The sequence below is a fragment of the Homo sapiens genome, chromosome 20 (assembly GCF_000001405.40).
Source record: "Homo sapiens chromosome 20, GRCh38.p14 Primary Assembly".
Classification (NCBI taxonomy): domain Eukaryota; kingdom Metazoa; phylum Chordata; class Mammalia; order Primates; family Hominidae; genus Homo; species Homo sapiens.
In genome coordinates this window covers 2,092,157-2,111,621 of record NC_000020.11, presented here as the reverse complement: position 1 = coordinate 2,111,621, position 19,465 = coordinate 2,092,157, and the positions used below count along the sequence as shown (strand labels likewise).

Sequence of the window (19,465 nt, the reverse complement as noted above, 5' to 3'; positions counted from 1 at the left end):
AAGGGAGCCTCCTGCCTCAGCCTCTCGAATAGAGTAGTGGGGATTACAACCATGCACCACCACGCCCGGCTATTCTTTTCTATTTTTAGTAGAGACAGGGTCTCCTTATGTTGCCCGGGCTGGTCTTGAACTTCTGGGCTCAGGCAATCCTTCCACCTCAGCCTCCTTAAGTACTGGGTAATTATAGGCATGAGCCACCACGCCTGGCCACTGACGTATTTTAGAGATGTGTCGCTTACAGAATCTACAAGTCACCAATTTTAAGGCATACCATTTAAGTAAGCCATATAGGCTGCTGACAACGCTATGGGCACACCATTGACTAAGTCAACCGCTGATTTCAGAGACGTTAAACTGTGAAAGAGCATATCTTGGACAATGAAACAAGTTCCTTATGGAGGCATGAGGGGTTGGCGATGGGAGACAGCCTAGTGGCCGACTGACTTATCAAGAGGCTCTGAAACCTGGTGAAGTGAGGGCTGGCAAGGGAGGAGGTGAGAAGAGGATGTGAAAGGTCTTAGAAGTTTAGGATAAATAAGATTTAATAACTTGTCACATAAGATGGAAAGGAAGAATTCAGAGAGTGCTCTGCCATTCCTCTCTGGTTACTCGAAACTGCTATCTATTCAGATAATAATTACATTTCCTCTCACAGGTGAGGAGACTCAGGAGCAAAAGATTAAGTAACTTGCCTAGTTGAGGGCAGGACCTTGAGTTTCCATAGGCTAGATTCTCAGCAGAAGCACTGTGACTGCCTTAGTGCCTGCAGCAAAATCGCACACCTGGATGTGCTAGTTCCCACAGCAGACTCTGATGCGTGCCCCCCAGAGTTTAATGTTCATCCAGTCCCTCGTGATGGTCCAACCACACAACATGCAGATCTGTCTTTCAGCAGAGGACTAATTAGGACTTTGACTTACGCACACTTCAGCAATTCAGCAATACATATAGGAAGTCTTAGAAATGCTCGATCCATTTGAAAGAAAAATCCCACTTGAGGAATTCATTCCAAAAGTGTCAAAAAGACACAAAACAAACAAGCCTCCCCACCCAACAAAAAAACACACACCAAACACCAGAGACACTCAGAACTGGTATTCCATACAGAGTAAGTCAAAGTGGAGGATTGGAAAACTACTGTCCAAGAATGAGAATGAGTAACAGTTAACTATGGTAATACCAATTGGCTGAAAGTTTTAAAGGACCATATTATACTTCAACAAAAGTTTACTTAAAAAGCCAAAAGAGAAAGTCACATAGCATGTAATAAGCAAGTTTTAATGTGAAGGGGGGAAAAGGGCAGAATATTAAAATTATAAAGTTATGTCTTAAGAAAAAGGATGAGGGAACCCCGAAAAATGAAGTTTGAATAAATTATGACTATAGCCATCCCTGTTTAATTAGGAGTTGTACATTAAAATATTTTAGTTAAAGAGCTGGCTCAGCCAAAGATCTGTCCTAAGAAGCTAAAGACACGGACCCATCCTGGCACATCTTCCCAAAGAAATATGAAAATGCAGACCAAGAATTGGTCCCATTCTCAATGATTTTGTGCTGTTATGTCATTATAAAGAGGCTGGGTACCATAGCAACACCACAGGGTGTGTCCAAAGTACTTCCTAAGATTAACAGACTTGTTCTGTTGGCTGCCAGGGCAAAACACAGTGTCCAAAAGAGGACAAGAGTAAACCCACCGGCCGGACAGGGGCTGTAAAGCCAGCCAGGCCTGGGGTCAACATTCCCTCTACTACCTGCCCCCAATCCCCCAATTACATAGCTATATGATCCTGGGCAAATTTCTTAGAACACTAAGAATCTGTTTAGTTTTTTATAAATTGAGAAGAAACACCTACAGCACTGGACTGCTCTAAGGCTTAACTGTGACATACAAAGCACCTTGAATGGTGCCTGGACACTAGAGCAGACTGCTACTGGGTGTGAATTATGCTAATGTCTCTGGACACCACTGGCAGCTGTCCAACACGGTCACAAGGCAGCCTGTCAAGAACATGGACACTGGAAAGAGCATCTGGATGTAAACCTAGGCCCTGACCTTTCTCTAGTGTTGTGCTGGACAAGCAACTTGACCTTGATGGACACTGACGTTCTTGTCTGTAAGAACAAGTTATATAAACACCAACTTTACAGTGGTGATGATTAAATGAGAAAAGGAGTATGAAAATACTACGAAATGCTAGCTATTACTACTTGGAACATTACAGGGGTTTGTTAAAATGTAGAATCCACCAGCCAGGCAGAGAGTTGGGGTACCCCTAATCCATGGCAGTCCGGGCTCAAGTATCTCTCTCCATATGCATGGGCCTTGCCACACACCTAAGCCTCAGCTCTTGCCAGGCTTGTTTCTGATTTACCCTTTTACAACTCATCCTTCCTTTCCCCAGATTTAGTCCACATTCCTGGCAGCTGATTCACCCAGAGCACCTCTTACAGGCTGCAGTGAAGTAACATCTATTGTACTGTAACCATCTCTTCCATTAGACTGGGCACTCACGGTGGAATGAAATCAAGTCTCTGGGTTCCCCACAGTATACCACATGCACACCTAGGTGGTCGATAAGAGGGTGAAATAAATCAAGATAAAAGTCATGCGCTGGAGAGGTGTAAAAAGAGAAAGAACACAGAAAGTAGTAGTAGGGTATGCAGAATATGCAAGTTAAAGACAACTAGGTCAGGATCCAGAATTTAGAAGTCACTAAGGAGGGTTCCTAGCCCTACAGATACCAGCAAAGGCCACATTTGAGGTGAATATGAGCAGACTACAAGTTCTACTTAGGAAGCACCCCTCGAGAGTTTATACTATAAAAAGCCTTACCCAACGCAACCCCAATTAACCAAAGCTCTCAATTAAGGAAGGGCTGCTTCTGTCTCCTGGGGCTGGTACCTAAAATCCCCAATGCACATAAAAAGTAGTCGGTCAGGAGCAAGAAGTCTGTGTGGTTGCCCCAAGTCATTCAAGAGTAGAGCAGAGAGCAGGTGGGGTCCCTGGCAGCTGAGACACACAGAAGGAACCAACAGAAATCAGCAGTGCCACAAGCACTGATCAATATACAACTAAAAACAAAGAGGAGCCATTAGTTTCTTTCTTTTTTTTTGGAGACAGTCTTGCTCTGTCGCCCAGGCTGGAGTGCACTGATGCGATCTCAGCTCACTGCAGCCTCTGCCTCCCGGGTTCAAGTGATTCTCCTGCTTCAGCCTCTTGAGTAGCTGGGATTACAGGCGCCCGCCACCACGCCCAGCTGATTTTTTGTATTTTTAGTAGAGACAGGGTTTCACCACTTTGGCCAGGCTGGTCTCCACCTCCTGACCTGAGGTGATCCGTCCACCTCGGCCTCCCAAAGTGTTGGGATTACAGGTGTGAGCCACCGCACACGGCCTGAGCCATTAGTTTCTGAGTAAAATATGATTATGCCCATTTTACAACCAAGAAAAACAGAAGAACCTAGAACTTAAGCTACCTGTCCCAGCAGTACCCCACAGCAGTTAAGAAAGCATACTCAAGTTTGAATGTCTGGCCTTGAATCCTGACTTGGTTACTTGCTTAGCTGTTTTACATTGGGCAATTTCACTAACCTTGGTACCTCAGTTGCCTCACCTATAAAATGAAGATAATCACGGTACTGACTTCACCTGATACATAGCAACCTGCAAGTTTCAGCTCTTATTTACAGGGTGAAACTGGGATTAAAACCTTCTGACTCTGAGTCTAGCATTTTATTGTATTGTGTTAACTTATATTTCCCCAATGCCAGCCAGCTCTCTGCCTCTTGACCTGGCGGCTCTCTAAACTCTGAGACCCAAGCCACAGAAGAGGATTCAGAGTTGCTTTTCTAAGGGCTGGGGAGGGAACGGCCTTGCTCTGCTCTGAAGGTTCCCTAGGCACTCGACAAGTTGGGGAAGTTTGCAGGCTGACAACCCATCTATTGCTAAGACCCTGGTCTATCCTATACTATTATAGTTCCTCCCTCAGCTTCTTCCTTCCCCTGCTTCCCCAATGCCCCTAACTAAACTCCCAGACAACTGTACTATTTTCTAAGATGCTACCACTTGTGACCCTGCATTATGTTCATGTGGGCATGCGTCCTCTGCATGCCTCGTGGAGAAAAACTCTGCATGGCCTCTTATAGTAGCCTGGCTCAAAGCCACTTGGTGTGCAGGCAAGATTACTTTCCAAGGCCTCGGTTCCCAGCCACCTAAAGGCATCGACATCAAACAATTGGTAAAGAACAATTAGTGTCTTATCAAGTTGAGTGTAAGCTAGGCTCCCGGCTCTCCCAAACTTCTAACTATTCTGTTATATGAGTCTTGAGAGTTTGTCCTGGATTAGTGTCTGTGAGTGTGTCCTCACTTGCTATTTGTCAGAAGAATCAGTGTGTGCCTTAGACAAAGCAACAGAATTTCTGACTGACAGTGACTCAGGCTTGCCTGCTGTCTAAGTGGCAGTAATCTTGAACTTTGTTTTAGGCACATTCAGGACAGGCATTCTCGCAATGGAAAACAAGGGGATAAAAGCAAACTGTTGATGCCTTCACCCCCCCAACCTTTATGTGAGAAGTATTTCAAAGTTAAAAACATAGGCACCAACCCTTCAACCAAATAATTTACAGGATTGTAAATGTGGTTTTAAAAAGCCTGGGAGGCTGGTTTGAGTGCTATCACTAACTCATTGTGGATAAAAGTTTTGTCCCTTTTCTGGGCTTCAGTTTCCTTCCTTGTGAAACAGGCAGCCAGGTCACACATCTAAGACCTCTTTCTATTCCTCCGAAGCTTCTGCTGTCTTAATGCCTCTGGGTAGGACGTGTTTGGTCTGTGCACAGAATGGAAGGAGACAATGCATTTAAGGCTATCAAACAAAATGGGGTAAGACCAAGAACAGCATTTCAAGACATTTCTCTTTTCGATACTGGATTATTTTACTGGCCAAATAGTGAAACGGACTCCCTTTGTCTCTTCGCCTATCCACAGTCCTAGGCACCCTACTTTCAAGCCCACCTTCTCCCTAACTCCTGATTCTCTTTCCTCTTAATTCTTGTGCAAAGCCCTTGCTTATGAGTTGACTGGTCATTTCCTCCAGTGATCTTGAATAGCATTTAAATCTTCTTCCAGTTCTCAAACTTTTCAAATGTAAGTTCCATTGGGGCAAGGGGTGGTGTGTTTTGCTTTGCTTTTTTTCTTTCCCTTCAAATACCACAGTAGGGACTCAGCATTAGGTTTAGTTGAGACTTCAAGGCAGATTCACACTTTTTGGCCTGTTCAAAATCATTCTGAGTTTTAGGAGGCAGGGCCAAGGGTGACTGTAAAGGACTTTTCTATTTAATGAGAGAGCTGAACCAGGTTATCTCTACGATTCCTTCCAGCTTTAACATTACTGGGTGGTATTTGCATGCTGTAAACCCAAGGCCCCAGGACAGATCAAGACCCCTAAATTTTGGAATCCAGAATAAGCAAAGTTTAACCTGGAGTAATTTTGGTATCTGTTCTCTATTTTAAGAAGCAAAAATGATTACCTATTTACTACTTGAAAAATCCACACATTGCAAGTCAGCTTGAATGTCATTTTCATAAGCAGAAACAACACATATTTTCTTCACTGCTCTGTCTCTGAGCCCTGAACACCGTAGAGGTTCAAATATTTTAAAGACTCCAAACAACTGAAAGGGACCAATCCAATCCAGTGTACGGCCTAAAGCAAAAGATTTCATTTTTCTAGGTCCCAGTTTTAGTTCACAAAGGGAGGATGAAAACACCAGTGTTTCTGTCAACTTGGTGTGCCTGACAACACAGAAAACAAGGTGTGTTCTATGATGAAACAAGTTTGGGAAACTTGAGCAAGAACAATGTGAATCTTGAAGGGGGTGAGGGTAGAAGAGTACAGAACATGGTGTGAACTTATATAAGGCAGTGAATTCCTCCCTATGTGGAGCACTTGCTGACATTAACAGTTTGCACAGTGACCCTATGTACCTAATGTCATAGGTACATACCCACTATCTTACAATAAAGGAATGCTCCTCACAGGGTTCAAACAATTTGCTCCATGTTTTGTGCAGTCAGTCCTGGGATGAGCCAGAGGGTCTAACCCCAAAGTCCATGGTACTAACCACTATGCTATGCTGCCATGGGGTCACTTTGGAATTTTGACAAATTCTTCAGGTGAGGAAAGTCCACATAGTATTTATATGTTGAGAGAGTAAGCAAGAGCTTCAAGCTGAGGTTGAAGGTTCGAGACTGGCGTCAATGAACTGAGGACACAAGGAATAAACATTCGGCAAGGCAAATTCCTACATCCCAAGGCAATCCTGTAGTAGGAAGTCCAGACCATTCATTGGCAGTAAAGGAGAAGACTAAGAGAAGTCTGAGAATAGAAAGACTTCAAAGTAAGTGATGCGCTCCTAGAATATAGGTAAGATAAACGAATCCCCTAGGGAGTCTTTTTTTTTTTTTTTTGAGACAGGGTCTTGCTCAGTCGCCCAGGTTATAGTGCCATTGCATGATAATGGCTCACTGTAGCCTCAACCTCCCAGGCTCAACTGATCCTCCTGCCTCTGCCTCTCAAGTAGCTGGGACTATAAGCCTGTGCCATCAGGTCCGGCTATTTTTTTTTCTATTTTTTGTGGAGACCAGGGTCTCACTTTGTTGCCCAGGCTGTTCCCAAACTCCTGGGCTCAAGCCATCCTCCCACCTCAGCCTCCCAAAGTGCTGGGATTACAGTCGTGAGCCATTGTGCCCTGCTGGAAGTCTTTTCAAAACAAAAACACTCACCCTGGGGAGAGGGTAGGCTTCTCAGAATGGATGGGGCACGGATGGACTTTATAAAGTTAGACATCTAATTAAAGGACTCTAGGTGATACTGATTCATGTTTCCAACTCCACTGTCAAACAACTGACTTGCAATGGGACAAAGCGTTCTCTTGGGAAAGACTTGGGGGATCTTTAAGTTGTGCAAAAGTAACAAGATTTTGGGAAACCACCCCCTCCAAACTCACCCCAAATCCTACCCACTCTTAAAAAAGTTCATCCTCAGGGTGCAGAGAACAGCATTACGCCTTCGAAAGGATCCAGGCCTCGAATCAAGACAGATCTGGGATCCCCGTCACTTAAGCTCTGAGAAATGTAAGGAAACCAGGAGTACAGTCTAACTTCCCTTTCAAGCGGATTAACCCTGATCAAGTTATTTGTTCACTTCTAAGCCTTAGTTTATTTATAGAAAAAGGATAGAATTTACTTTTGAAGTTATTACCTAAAAATTACTTCAGCACTGAGACCACAGCTGGGACTCGGATTAGTAAACTTTCTTCCCCTGGATCCTCCTGCCTCGGAAAGTCTCCTCAAACTTTCTACCGCCTCTCTCCTCTCCAAGCAGACACTTAGCTACTGGTAGTATGAAAAAGGCTTGTGAGTACTGAGTAGTTAGGATGAATACATTCCCTAACTGCAGTTAAAACCCGGAAACTAAGATAATTAGTTCCTCCAGGACTGCAAGACCTCTTGCCTCAATGTACCCCATTTTCCTTTTAAGTAAAACCACTTCCCAGCCAGCCTCTGAGGTTAAGAAAAAGATTAAGAATGTAAAACGGAGGGAAAAGATGCCGGATGCTTTGTTATGTGACAGCTCTCAGGCCACCTGTGAGGGTTGTCAGCCTGCACCCCTCAGAGGACCAAGCCAGAAGACAGTCAGTTTGCTCGGCTGCCTGGGATGAAGGGCCGGGGGCCTCAGAGGAAAAGGCAGACGAGGAAGCCACAGGAGTTTGGGGGTTGGAGCTGGAGGGTGTCAGGAAACTTGGAACCAGACAGGGAGAGGGTGTGGGTGGGTCCAGTCAAGTTTTTTCTTTTTGTTTGTTTTGGGAGGGAAAGAGAGAGGCCCTCGGGGGTGAGGAGGCTCCGCAGTTCTGCTACTAACTGAACCCGACCCCTCCTCCACTCCCCCAACCGATCTTAAAAATAGAAGACGTTTAATAACCATAGCTCGCAATTCTTGAGCACTTATTAAGTTAATGGTTAGCACTTAAACGAGCTCTTGTTATGGAAACACCAGCCAACTTTAGGCCCAGGGACTGATCTTAGGACCTGAGAAGAGAGGGCCGAATGCCTGGGCCCAGGAAAGGAGGGTGTGTCAGGGCACAGGGTGACAGGGACCAGGTCTGAGGCCTAGGAAGGCCAGGAACAGTGTGGGCCAAGCCGTCCGGAGAGCAGGGGGTCCAGGCCCTGCGTGGGTGGAAAGGCCCGCGGTGCTCCTACCTTTCAGCGAGGTCTCCACCAGGCGCAGGTAAAGCTGCGAGCTCTTGTTGCCGTGACTCATGCGCTGGGCTAACCCATTGCGCTGCAGGACGCACTCCTCAAACTGCACGACGTTCTGGTGGCGCCGCTTGAGGCTGGTGAGGGCCCAGAATTCAGCCAGCGCCAGCTCCACGTTCTCGGGGGCGTCGCAGCGGATCTTCTTGACCGCCACCCGGGCCCCGCTGCGCCCGGCCACTGCCTCATAAACCACGCCGTAGCTGCCGCGCCCGATCTCCGCCAACAGGCTGTAACGCGGCCGCGCGGACCCGCCACCGCCCTCAGGCCGTCGCCGCGCCAGGAAGGCCTCGCCCGGGGCCTCGGCCGCCACCGGATCCATGGCCCGGGCCGCCGCCGCCGGCCTCAGCTTCGTGCTGGGCGCCCGCGGCACTGGGCTTCGCCTTTTCCGCTCCGGGCTTTGTGTACCTCTGCGGGCGCCGTCCTTCCCCGTTTCCATGGCTGCGGGCGGCGGGGGGAGCAGCAACGGCGCTGCCCGGGCCCCCCCTGCCTCATCCCTCCGTCCGGCCCTGGGACGCGGAGGAGCCGGACCTTGGATTGTGACCTGCGGGCGAAAGAATCGGTTAAACGGCCAGGCCAAGGCGGGGAGGCCAGGAGCGTAGGCCGCGGGGCGTCCCACCTCCTCCTCCCCCGGCCGCCGCGGCCCCTTTAAGACGGAAGCCACCGCCGCTGATTGAACGGGGGAGGGGAGGGGAAAGCGGGAAAGACCGAACCACTGGGCAGCAGCTCAGAGGGGGAACCGGAAAGAAAAGCACAAACTCTCCGCTCTCTCTGTTAGCTTGTCATGTAGCGATAGGAAAAAGAAGAGCCAGCAAGCTTCACGCCTTCTGAAAACCGCTTAGAGACGCGATTTGGCCGGCGGAAATATTTTTCTTTGCTTGGCCCCCTCTGTGACGCTCCTCCCCGCGCCCCGCCTTGTGTTCGCCCGGGTGTAAACAGTCCATTGAATTAAGCCCTAGCGGAGCCCAGCGGACCGACCCAAGTCCCCGAGGGCGACGGGTAGAAGGGATTGGCTGAAAAGTTCGGCTTCTCGGAGTGCGACTGGCCGAGGACCCGATTTCCCTTCCCAAGCGCGGAGGCAGTGGCAGTAACTCCAGCCTCGGCGCTGGCCTTCAGTCCTCCAACGGCGCCCTTACCTGGCCCGCGCACCTCCACTTCCGGGCGGCCCGTTTCCCCCCTGGAGCCCCTGCCTGGGGATGGTCCGCTCCGGGCCCGGGCTGCCTCCGGGACCGAGCAGCGCGGGAGGTGGCGGCCCGAGCCCGGCGTGTAGCGGATCCTTCTGCTGCCGCGGCGCTCGCTGGGGAAGCCTGGGCTCCTAGGCTCCCGTGGCTTTCCACGTGTTCGCGCCAGCTGAGCCCTTTACATAACCTCTTTACATAAGCTGCACCTCCCGCCGGCGCCCGGGCCAGCGGAGACTCCTGGTGGCCCATCCCCCGGGACGCCAGCCGAGTGAGCCCTGCACCGCCCGGTCCTGCAAAGGTCGACGGAGCAGCCGCAGCCGAGCGCACCGGCACGCCTTGCCGGGACCCAATCACTGGCGAGAACACCCAGCCAACAAAAAATAGGCGCGAAATTCCCGTGATCCGCGGCGGGCTCCGGGTCTCCGCAGCGGCCCGCGCATCACTATCCCTTCTCGCCTGATCTGCGTGAAGACCAACCGTCCGCAGTAGGCGCCTAATAAATACTGACTGGGTGATTGTCTTGGTCGTTTGATTCATAGCTCTGTCCTGGGAACCTCAGGGACTGGGTTGGAATCCCGACCTTCCCTTCTACCAGCCCAGTGATCTTGTGCAAATCATTGACCCACCCTGAGCATCCGTTTATCTAATGATCCTCTGCAAAATGGATAGAATGGGCTTTAATTCCCAGGAATGATAGACCCAAATGAAATACCTAGATGGAGGCTAATTGGGTGTGGGGCTGTTAGTACCCAAAGCTCCCATTTAGGCACAGATTTTTGAATATTTTGTTCTGTATTTTGTATTCCAGTGTAGGCCTAGTGGGTGCCCAGTGTTTGTTAACTGAATCTACAGATGTTTATTGAACACCCGTAATGTGCTAGGCACCATTCCAAGTCGCTGGGGAAAGAGCAATAGACAAGGCAGTTTCTGCCTTGGTTGAGGTTCTGTGCCACTGCAGGAGACAAACCACATGGGTGGCCTTGGGCAAGTTAGTCAACCTTCTTGTGTATTTGTTCCTTACCTGTAAGAAGATCCACAGAGGTTATACAGGTAAAGCACTTAGGACAGCCTTGCACACAATGTTAAGTATTATTAAATAAATGCACAGGATAATTTTTGCCAGTGGTAAGTGTGATGGAGAAAAAGAATGAGCTAAAGAGTGCTCACTGGATACAGGCCATTTCTTATAATGTATTTGGTCGCTGAAAACCTCTTAACTTTTTTGTGATTAAATTTCAAATTTACACATAAATTTCAAGAATCGTAAAGATCATATACTTTTCCACTAGAATAACAAATTGTTATATTTTGCTGCATATCCATATCCTCTCGTGTATGTGTATATATACACACAAATACATATTGTGTGTGGATATCTATATGGTATATACCCCAAAAGAAAGGAAATCAGTATACGGTATATAGATATTCACACACACACATATATAATGTATATATTCTTTTTTACTACATCATTTTAGAGTTTCCAACATCAAACTCCTTTATCCTAAATATATGTGTGTGTTTCCTTAAAAAAAAGACATTATCTGGCATAATCTCAGTACAGTGGTCAAAAATCAGGAATTTTAACAATGATACAATTGTTTTATTTAATACACTCCATCCATATTTAAATTTTGCTAATGGTCCCAATAATGTCCTTTATAGCTATTCCCCAGGATCCAATTCAGGATCAGACGTTGCACTGAGTTGTCATGCCTCTTTAGTTTCTTTTAATCTGGAAGGGCAGTTAGTTATCCAGCCTTTCTTTGTCTTTCATGACCTTGACATTTTTGAAGAATACTGGCGAGTTATATTGTAGAATGTCCCTAAATTTTTATTCATCTGTGTTTTCTTATTAGTTTCAGAGTATCCATTTTTCTCTCCTCCCCCACCCCCCACCAACCCATCCCTTGCTATTCTGAGAGGGTATGCATTTTTTGGCAGGACTACTGCTGAAAAAAGTTGCCTCCTCAGGGCCTTTCATCAGGAGGCACATGGCATTGTGTTTGTCCCAGTATTCGTGGTGTTAACTTCCATCATTTGGTTGAGGTGGTGTAGGAGTAGTTACACTCTACCATAAAGTTACGATTTTTCCTTCTGTAACTATTAAGTATTCTGTGGGAAGATATTTTGAGACTATTTAAATATCCTCTTCTTTAGACTCTTACCCACTGGTTTCAGAATTCATGGTGATTCTTGCTTGAAACAATTATTACAGTTGCAAAATGGTGATCAGAAGGTCTTTTTAACCATAACCTTTTTTCTATTTCTGTGAAGAATGTCATTGGTATTTTGATAGGGATTGCATTGACTCTTTAGATTGCTTTGGGTAGTATGGACATTTTAACCAATGTTGATTCTTCCTATCCATGAACATGAAATATCTTTCCATTTTTTGTGTGTCCTCTTCAATTTCTTTAATCAGTGTTTTATAGTTTTCATTATAGAGATCTTTCATTTCTTTAAATTAATTCCTAGGTATTTTTATTTATGGCTATTGTAAATGGGATTACTTTTTAAATTTCTTTTTCAGATTGTTCACTGTTAACATATAGAAATGCTACTGATTTTTGTATGTTGATTTTGTATCCTGCAACTGTACGGAATTTGTTTATCAGTTCTAACAGTTTTTTGGTGGAGTCTTTAGGTTTTTCCAAATATAAGATATAATATGCAAACAAGGATAATTTAACTTTTTCCTTTCCTATTTGGATGCCCTTTATTTCTTTCTCTTGCCTGATTGCTCTAGCTAGTACTTCTAGTACTTCTAGTACTGTGTTGAATAACAGTGGTGAAAGTGGGCATCCTTGTTGTATTCCAGATCTTAAAGGCTTTCAGTTTTTCCCCATTCAGTATGGTACTAGCTGTGGGTTTGTCATATATGGCTTTTATTATGTGGGGGTATTTTCCTTCTATTCCCAGTTTTTTTTAGGGTTTTTATCATGAAACCATGTTGAATTTTATCAAATGCTTTTTCAGCATCAATTGAAATGATAGTATGGTTTTTGTCCTTCATTCCGACAGCCTTATTTTATCTTAATTACCTCTTTAAAGACCTTATCTTCAAATATAGGCACATTCTAAGGTACTGGGAATTATAACTTCAACATGAATTTGGAGTGAGGAGGGACACAATTCAGTCCATAATAGCCTCTTTGGCATTTGACATTTGAATTGAAACCTGAATGTCAAGAACCCAGCTCTGAAACCGAATGGGAAGTCATTCCAAGAAGAAAGAAGAACAAGTACAAAAGCCATGAGATGGATACAAGCTTGTGAAACCAGCCATGTGGTAAGATTTTAAAATGGTACAACCACTTTGGGAAAAAAAAAAAAAACCAGTTTGGCAGTTTCTTATAAAGTTAAATATATGTCTACCCTGTGGCCCAGCAATTCCATGGGTCTCAGGTAAATGAAAACTTCTGTTAATAAAGCAACTTGTATAGGAATTCACAGTGGCTTTTCCCATAAGAATTCCAAACTGGAAAATGCTGCAGTGTTCAGCAATAAATGAATGGATAAACAAATTGTGGTATTCCCATACAATGAAATGTTGCTGAGGGTGTGTTGATGGGGGGAGGAATAAAGTATTGATACAACAGCATGTATGAATCAAAATAATTATGCTGAGTGAAAGAGGCCAGGCACAAGAGAGTACCTGCTAGATGATTCTATATACAATTCTTAACAATACAAACTAATTTGTAGTGACAGAAAGCAGATCAGTAGTTGGGGTAGGAAGGGTGGATAGAAAACAAAAGGACATAAAACTTTTTGGGGTGATGGGTTATCTAGACTGTAGTAATAGTTTCAAGATAGGAATATATTAAAACACTTCAAATTGTACCCTTTATATTAGGTGTATTTATGTAAATCAGTTTTACAACTTAATAAAGCTATAAAAAAATTGGAAAAGAACACATACTATAATTCCATTAATATAAAGTCAACCAACAATAGTCTAGAGTGGCAGAAATCGTATCAGTGGTTGTTTTTCAGGTGGGAATTGATTGCTGAGGGCCACAGGGGAATTTTCTGGGTGATGGAATTTTATTGTGTGTAAATTGTACCACGACAAAGTTGAATTAAAACATAAAAAAAAAAAAAAAAAAGCCAAAACCCTGTAGCTGCGAACACTTGTGTCTTTACTTAGAAGTTTCTAAGGACAGAAGGCTGCATTGTGTGGCCCTGGCCCCATTCCTGTATCACTGGCTTCGTAGGTTTAGCACAGCCAGCAGTGTCTTTCCTCCTGGCTAGTTTTCCTATCTGATTTTGTTTTGTTTTGTTTTCTAATACACATATACATGTTTTTATTTTGTTTTTAGGCATCTTACCTATTTATCCATCTATTTGAGAGAGGGTCTTGCTCTGTTGCCCAAGCTTGGAGTGCAGTGGCATGATCATGGCACACTGCAGCCTTGACCTCCTGGGCTCAAGTGATCCTCCCACCTCAGCCTCCTGAGTAGCCGGGACTGTGGGCACATGCCACTAGGATTTTACCATGTTGCCCAGGCTGGTCTCGAACTCCTGGCTCAGCCATCCTCCCACCTTGGCCTCCCAGAGTGCTGGGATTACAGGCATGAGCCACTGCACCCGGCCTATTTACTTTTTATAATTCCAGCTTGTTTTTTTAGATTTTGGGGTACCTGTGCAGGTTTGTTACATGCATATATTGTGTGATGCTAAGGTTTGGGATACAGTTGAGCCCATCGTCCAGGTAATGAGCATAGTAACCAGTAGCTTTTCCACCCTTGCCCTTCCCTCCCCACCCTAGTAATACACAGTGTCTACTCCTGTCTTTATGTCCATGAGCACCCATTGTTTACTCCCACATATAAGTGAGAACATGCGGTATTTGGTTTTTGGTTTTCTGTTCCTGAGTTAATTTGCTTAGGATAATGGCCTCCAGCTGTATCCCCCACCTGAATTTTGAGAGAGATTGAATATGAAGTTCTGGGAGGACCACAAGGAGTGTGAATCCTTTTATATGCTGTTAAGAGGGCTGGACTGCTTGATAAATCATTTGATGCCTTGACCAAATTTTTAGTTTTTGTTTTTGTCTTGCTTAACTTATGGAAGTAACCTATACTTTACTGTTAGGACTAATAGCCAACATTTACTAAAGTTTTCTGTCTGCCAGGCACAGGGATTAACAAAGAATTACGACAATTCCATGAGGTAGTGACTTTCATTAGCCCCATTTTACAGATGAAGAAACCGAATGTGAAGCTGGCACAGCTGGGTTTCAAACTGAGGCCCCAGACACTCCACATCTCTTGATCGCACTCAGCCCCTCCCCAGGCTAAGCAGTGTAAACGTTACAGCGAGCCCTCTTCTACATCTTTCTTGTTGACAAACATGCCTGCCTCAGTATCCCTGGAACCTCAGACAGTACCAAACATCTGACTGAGCTCAATATTTAGTGATAGAAGAAATGTAGAAGAGAAGAGCAGCAGTGAGGTTTTTTGTTTGTTTTTTTAAATGGAGTCTCACTCTGTTGTCCAGGCTGGGGTGCAGTGGCATGATCTCGGCTCCCTGCAACCTCTACCTCCTGGATTCAAATGATTCTCCTCCTCAGCCTCCCGAGTAGCTGGGATTACTGACACCTGCCACCACACCTGGCTAATTTTGTGTGTGTGTGTGTGTTTTAGTAGAGATGGGGTTTCATCATATTGGCCAGGCTGGCCTCGAACTCCTGACCTCAAGTGATCCATCCACCTTGACCTCCCAAAGTGCTGAGATTTCAGGCGTGAGCCACCGTAACCGACCAAGCAGTGAGGTTTTCAGCCCTTTTAGCAGGCCAGGGATGCGGAAGGAAGTCCTTTCTCTGCTGAGCACAGAGAGCTGCATGGAATGTCACATCATTGGTTGTGCTCTCTACACTCAAGGAGTCGCTGACACTGGCTGAATAAAGCAATGGCTACACTTTTACTGTAAGAAAAGTCATTCATTTAACATTTTTTGAACCCTTACTCCTCTATGTGCAAGGCAGTTTGGGAGCTGATGTATGGGGATGAGCAGGAGAAAACTCAGTGTCTGCCTTGAGGGGCTGACACAGACAATATGACAGTGCAGTTATGCAGTCCCACATCACAGTAGACCCATTAGGGACCAGAAAGTAAACAAAAGATAGCAAGGGATGGAGGCTGGGCATGGTGACTCATGCCTGTAATCCCAGCACTTTGGGAGGCCGAGGCAGGCGGATCACCTGAGGTCAGGAGTTCGAGACCAGCCTGACCAACATGGAGAAACCCCGTCTCTACTAAAAATACAAAATTAGCCGGGCATGGTGGCACACACCTGTAATCTCAGCTACTCAGGAGGCTGAGGCACAGGAATCACTTGAACCCAGAAAGCAGAGGTGGCAGTAAGCTGAGATTGCACCATTGCACTACAGCCTGGGCAGCAAGAGCGAAACTCCGTCTCAAAAAAAAAAAAAAAAAAAAAAGATAGCAAGGGATGGGGTCGATGGTATTCTAGAATGGGTGGTTTGGGGAAAGCTTTCTAAGGAGGTGACCATTGAGCAGGGACCTGATTTAAGTTAAAGAATAGGTCAATTGCATCTCTACTGGAAGAGCATTTCAGATCAGAGGGAAGAGCAAAGGCCCTAGGTGGGAGGGAGCAGGCAAGGAGGCCAGTGTGGCCTGAGCTGAGTGAATGGGGGAAGAGTGGTGGGAAACACAGGAAGAGGGATGTGTGGGGCCCCATAACGAGGCAGGGACTCAGGGGCCATGGAAAGAATGGTGGAGTTACTGAGTGCTTGCTATATGCCAAGCACTTACGGTCGGTGATGTGGCTGGACCCCATTGGCCCTCCTTTCACACGAGAGTGCTGAAGCTCGGATAGGTAAGAACCGTCCCAAGTGAGAAGGCAGAATAGTAAGGCTGAGGCTGGTGATCCATCTCTGTACTTCAGGGGGCTGAGGACACCCGAGGGGCAGCCAGCCCTGGGGGTGGTGCCATGGGAAAGCAGGGAGCTTCGTCCTGGGAGGGAAGGGTGGATGGAGTAAAGGAGTGTGGGGGAATGGAAGGTAGGAGACAGGGGGCTGAGACTGCTCCAGGGGGCTGGAAGAGGGATTATGCGGAGTGAGGAGGAAGGATTGGGGCTGAGGATTAAGGACAGAGGTGGCATGGGGGTAGGGGCTAGGAATGAGGTGGTGTGGTGGTTGTAGAAGGGGGAGCCGAGCGTGGGAGAGGGTTAAAGGCAGAGAGGCTGGCACAGGGGTATAGGAGGAGGATCTTGGGAGCAGGAGGTGCTGAAGACTGAAGCTTGAGGTGGCTGCCTCAATGAAGGAGATCCCCTGAGCAGGGAGTACTAGGGAGGCCTGGAGGAGTGTGTGCAGTCGCCTTGGAGAGCTCCCCTCCCATAATGGCTCTGGATTTTCAGAGGGCTCCAGGAAGGCTGTCTCCAGGAAACGCTAGAGCTTGTCATGATGCCTAACACCACACAACTCGCAATAACTCTATATGGGAGAGGCTGTTTTCGTCCCCATTTTATAGATGGGAAGACTGGCCACATGTGGTGGCTCACGCCTGTAATTCCAGCAGTTTGGGAGGAAGAGGTGGGTGGGTCACCTGAAGCCAGGAGTTTGAGACCAGCCTGGCCAGCATGGTGAGACCCTGTCTCTACTGAAAACACACAAATTAGTCAGACGTGGTGACGCATGCCTGTACTCCCAGCTACTTGGGAGGCTGGGGTGGGAGAATTGCTGGAACCTGGGAGGCAGATGTTGCAGTGAGCCAAGATCATGCCCTGCACGCCAGCCTGGGCGACGAGTGAGACTCTGTCTCAAAAGAAAAACAAAGACAACTAGGAAGACTGAGGGTTGGAAGTTGCTACATCACCAATGACCGGAATACCTGGTATTTGGACCCCAGCAGCCTTAGGTTTGGGTATCCATGTTTTCAACCATTAGACCTATGGCTCTCAAGCTTGAGTGCCCAATCCACTGGCATCACCTGGAGAGCTGATTAAAACCCAGATAGCTGGAGCCACCCACAGTGCGACTAATTCAGTAAGTCTCGGGTAGAGCTTGATAATTTGCATTTCTGACACGGTCGCAGATGATGCTGATGTTGACGCTGTTATCCCGGAACCATGCTTTGAGAACCACTACATCACACTGTCATGTTCCTAGACTGAGCACAAAGCAGAGGGAACTGGAGAGGATTTGAGTTCTGGTAAGAATTCGAGGATGAATAGGAGCTGAATGAATTACCTAGGAAACTAAGCAAATAAAACATGAAGCGATTATTAAAGGCAAGAAAACAAAAACAATTGATAAGAAAAACATTGTAATCATCATAAACTACAACACTCAGCTGGAAATAATATTACATTGTCATTGTCATGTAAAACAGCACTTTGACTTAACCAAAAATTATGATATAATTATATTGGGAGACTTGGAGACGGAAAGTGTGTCTGTGTGTATGGTGGAGGGGGAAGAAAAGGAGAGATAACTAAATCCTTATCTTCCATAGCCGTGAGTTAATAAAAAAAAATTTAAATCAAGGAGCGATCCCATAATCAAGTGTGGAAAAATAACTACAGAATTAAAGTTACTGCTTCTGGGATGGGATCAGAGGTGAAACAGGATTTTTGTTATAAGCTTTGTGGTAGTATTTAACTTGTAATGGTATCTAACTCAAACATTATGTCTATTTATCATTTGGATTAAAATTGAAATTAAAACTAAAAGTGGGCATGAGCTTTAGCCACCACTGAAGCAGCCTGTCAGCTTGGTGGCGCTGTTCAGCTTCTGGCCAAGGGGTTCACCTGTCCTCCTTGTATTACCTAAACACATCTGGAGGGCTAACAATAGTACCCTTATCACACTTGGGGAACACTGGATTAGAGACACTGCACCCAGTAATACTCAACAGAGAGGCTTCTTGTCTATTAAATGAGGGTCTCAGTTACAGAAAACAAAGATGGGTGCAGATAACAGCCACCCTGTCTCCAAAACTTAATAGATGGGTCTAATTTCAAGTGTTCTTCCTACTGGCCACTGAAAAGGCTAAGAAATGTCTGACATTTCTTCCTCTCCCATTTGGGAATGGCATACAAATTTTTGTCAGGCTATGTATCTGAATATTTGCTGCAGGAAATTGGTTGCTAAGTTCTTAGGAGTTGTTTATGATTTTTGGAAAGATAAAGGGCTATAATGCCAAATGAGCAGGGCAAAGTCCTTAATTCTGTAACTACTGGGACATTCAAAATAAATTATTGGGGCGTCTGGTTAAAATGTACACAACCATAAGGCAACAAAGTACACTCACTAATCAAAATGTAAAGTGATACAGTCTTTTAGAAAGGCAAATTGATAACTCATTGTTTATTAATATAATTAAAAATTAATACACTTTGATCAGCTATTCCGTTTCTAGGAATTTATCCTATAGAAGTACTCACATGGTGTGGAAAAATATATGTGCAACAAGGATTTTATTGTGGTGAGATATATATATATATATATATAAAATAATAATAAAATATTAGAAACAATACCAAAAGTAGAGGCTTGGTTACACAGGGTCATCATATATTTAAATACATGCCCATCAAAAGAAGGAGTTAGCTCTGTATGTACTACCATACAATACATGTACACAATATTTTGTTACATAAAAAAGCAAATGCAAACAAGCATCTATAATATGACCACATTTTGTTTAAACATGTATACATAATTGCTAACCTTCATTGAGTTACTTCTGTGTATTCTGATGGTTCTAAGTGCTCATATGTAATAATTAATTAATTAATCCAATAAGCCTTAGGGTAGGTTTTATTTTTAGCTCTATTTTCCATAGAAACTGAGGCACAAAGAGGTTATTACTTTTTCAAGGCTATACCACTAAAAAGCGATGGAACTTGGATTCCAACCCTGGTGTATCTGATTCCAAAGCTCTTGATCTTGAACTAGCACATGATACAGCGTTTGTACTTACATGTTAATTTCTGTATAC

The 19,465-nt window shown here is 45.3% G+C and overlaps 1 protein-coding gene across 2 annotated transcripts in view, besides 8 other annotated features; it reads right to left on the bottom strand.

The window, feature by feature from the left end:
* STK35 (serine/threonine kinase 35) overlaps nucleotides 1–9,795 on the bottom strand; it is a 46,729-nt gene extending 36,934 nt beyond the window's left edge. For both annotated transcript variants that reach the window (NM_080836.4, XM_011529174.4), the window contains exons 1-2: nucleotides 9,447–9,795; nucleotides 8,257–8,854 (exon numbers count right to left, since the gene is read on the bottom strand). In NM_080836.4, coding sequence (NP_543026.2) covers nucleotides 8,257–8,854; nucleotides 9,447–9,740 — 892 coding nt within the window. In that variant the 5' untranslated portion in view covers nucleotides 9,741–9,795. The remainder of the gene's footprint in view (nucleotides 1–8,256; nucleotides 8,855–9,446) is intronic.
* Nucleotides 8,066–9,034: an enhancer, noted in NCBI's record as "NANOG-H3K27ac-H3K4me1 hESC enhancer chr20:2083234-2084202 (GRCh37/hg19 assembly coordinates)". NCBI's record gives its function as "activates a minimal SCP1, AML or CMV promoter by ChIP-STARR-seq in naive H9 embryonic stem cells {active_cell/tissue: H9 hESC(naive)}" and the evidence as "EXISTENCE:reporter gene assay evidence [ECO:0000049][PMID:30033119]".
* Nucleotides 8,380–8,429: a silencer, noted in NCBI's record as "silent region_12602". NCBI's record gives its function as "represses an Ori minimal core promoter by ATAC-STARR-seq in GM12878 lymphoblastoid cells {active_cell/tissue: GM12878}" and the evidence as "EXISTENCE:reporter gene assay evidence [ECO:0000049][PMID:35858748]".
* Nucleotides 8,450–8,979: a silencer, noted in NCBI's record as "silent region_12601". NCBI's record gives its function as "represses an Ori minimal core promoter by ATAC-STARR-seq in GM12878 lymphoblastoid cells {active_cell/tissue: GM12878}" and the evidence as "EXISTENCE:reporter gene assay evidence [ECO:0000049][PMID:35858748]".
* Nucleotides 9,270–9,319: a silencer, noted in NCBI's record as "silent region_12600". NCBI's record gives its function as "represses an Ori minimal core promoter by ATAC-STARR-seq in GM12878 lymphoblastoid cells {active_cell/tissue: GM12878}" and the evidence as "EXISTENCE:reporter gene assay evidence [ECO:0000049][PMID:35858748]".
* Nucleotides 9,330–9,619: a silencer, noted in NCBI's record as "silent region_12599". NCBI's record gives its function as "represses an Ori minimal core promoter by ATAC-STARR-seq in GM12878 lymphoblastoid cells {active_cell/tissue: GM12878}" and the evidence as "EXISTENCE:reporter gene assay evidence [ECO:0000049][PMID:35858748]".
* Nucleotides 9,720–9,909: a silencer, noted in NCBI's record as "silent region_12598". NCBI's record gives its function as "represses an Ori minimal core promoter by ATAC-STARR-seq in GM12878 lymphoblastoid cells {active_cell/tissue: GM12878}" and the evidence as "EXISTENCE:reporter gene assay evidence [ECO:0000049][PMID:35858748]".
* Nucleotides 15,944–16,443: an enhancer, noted in NCBI's record as "H3K27ac hESC enhancer chr20:2075825-2076324 (GRCh37/hg19 assembly coordinates)". NCBI's record gives its function as "activates a minimal SCP1, AML or CMV promoter by ChIP-STARR-seq in primed H9 embryonic stem cells {active_cell/tissue: H9 hESC(primed)}" and the evidence as "EXISTENCE:reporter gene assay evidence [ECO:0000049][PMID:30033119]".
* Nucleotides 16,444–16,945: an enhancer, noted in NCBI's record as "H3K27ac hESC enhancer chr20:2075323-2075824 (GRCh37/hg19 assembly coordinates)". NCBI's record gives its function as "activates a minimal SCP1, AML or CMV promoter by ChIP-STARR-seq in primed H9 embryonic stem cells {active_cell/tissue: H9 hESC(primed)}" and the evidence as "EXISTENCE:reporter gene assay evidence [ECO:0000049][PMID:30033119]".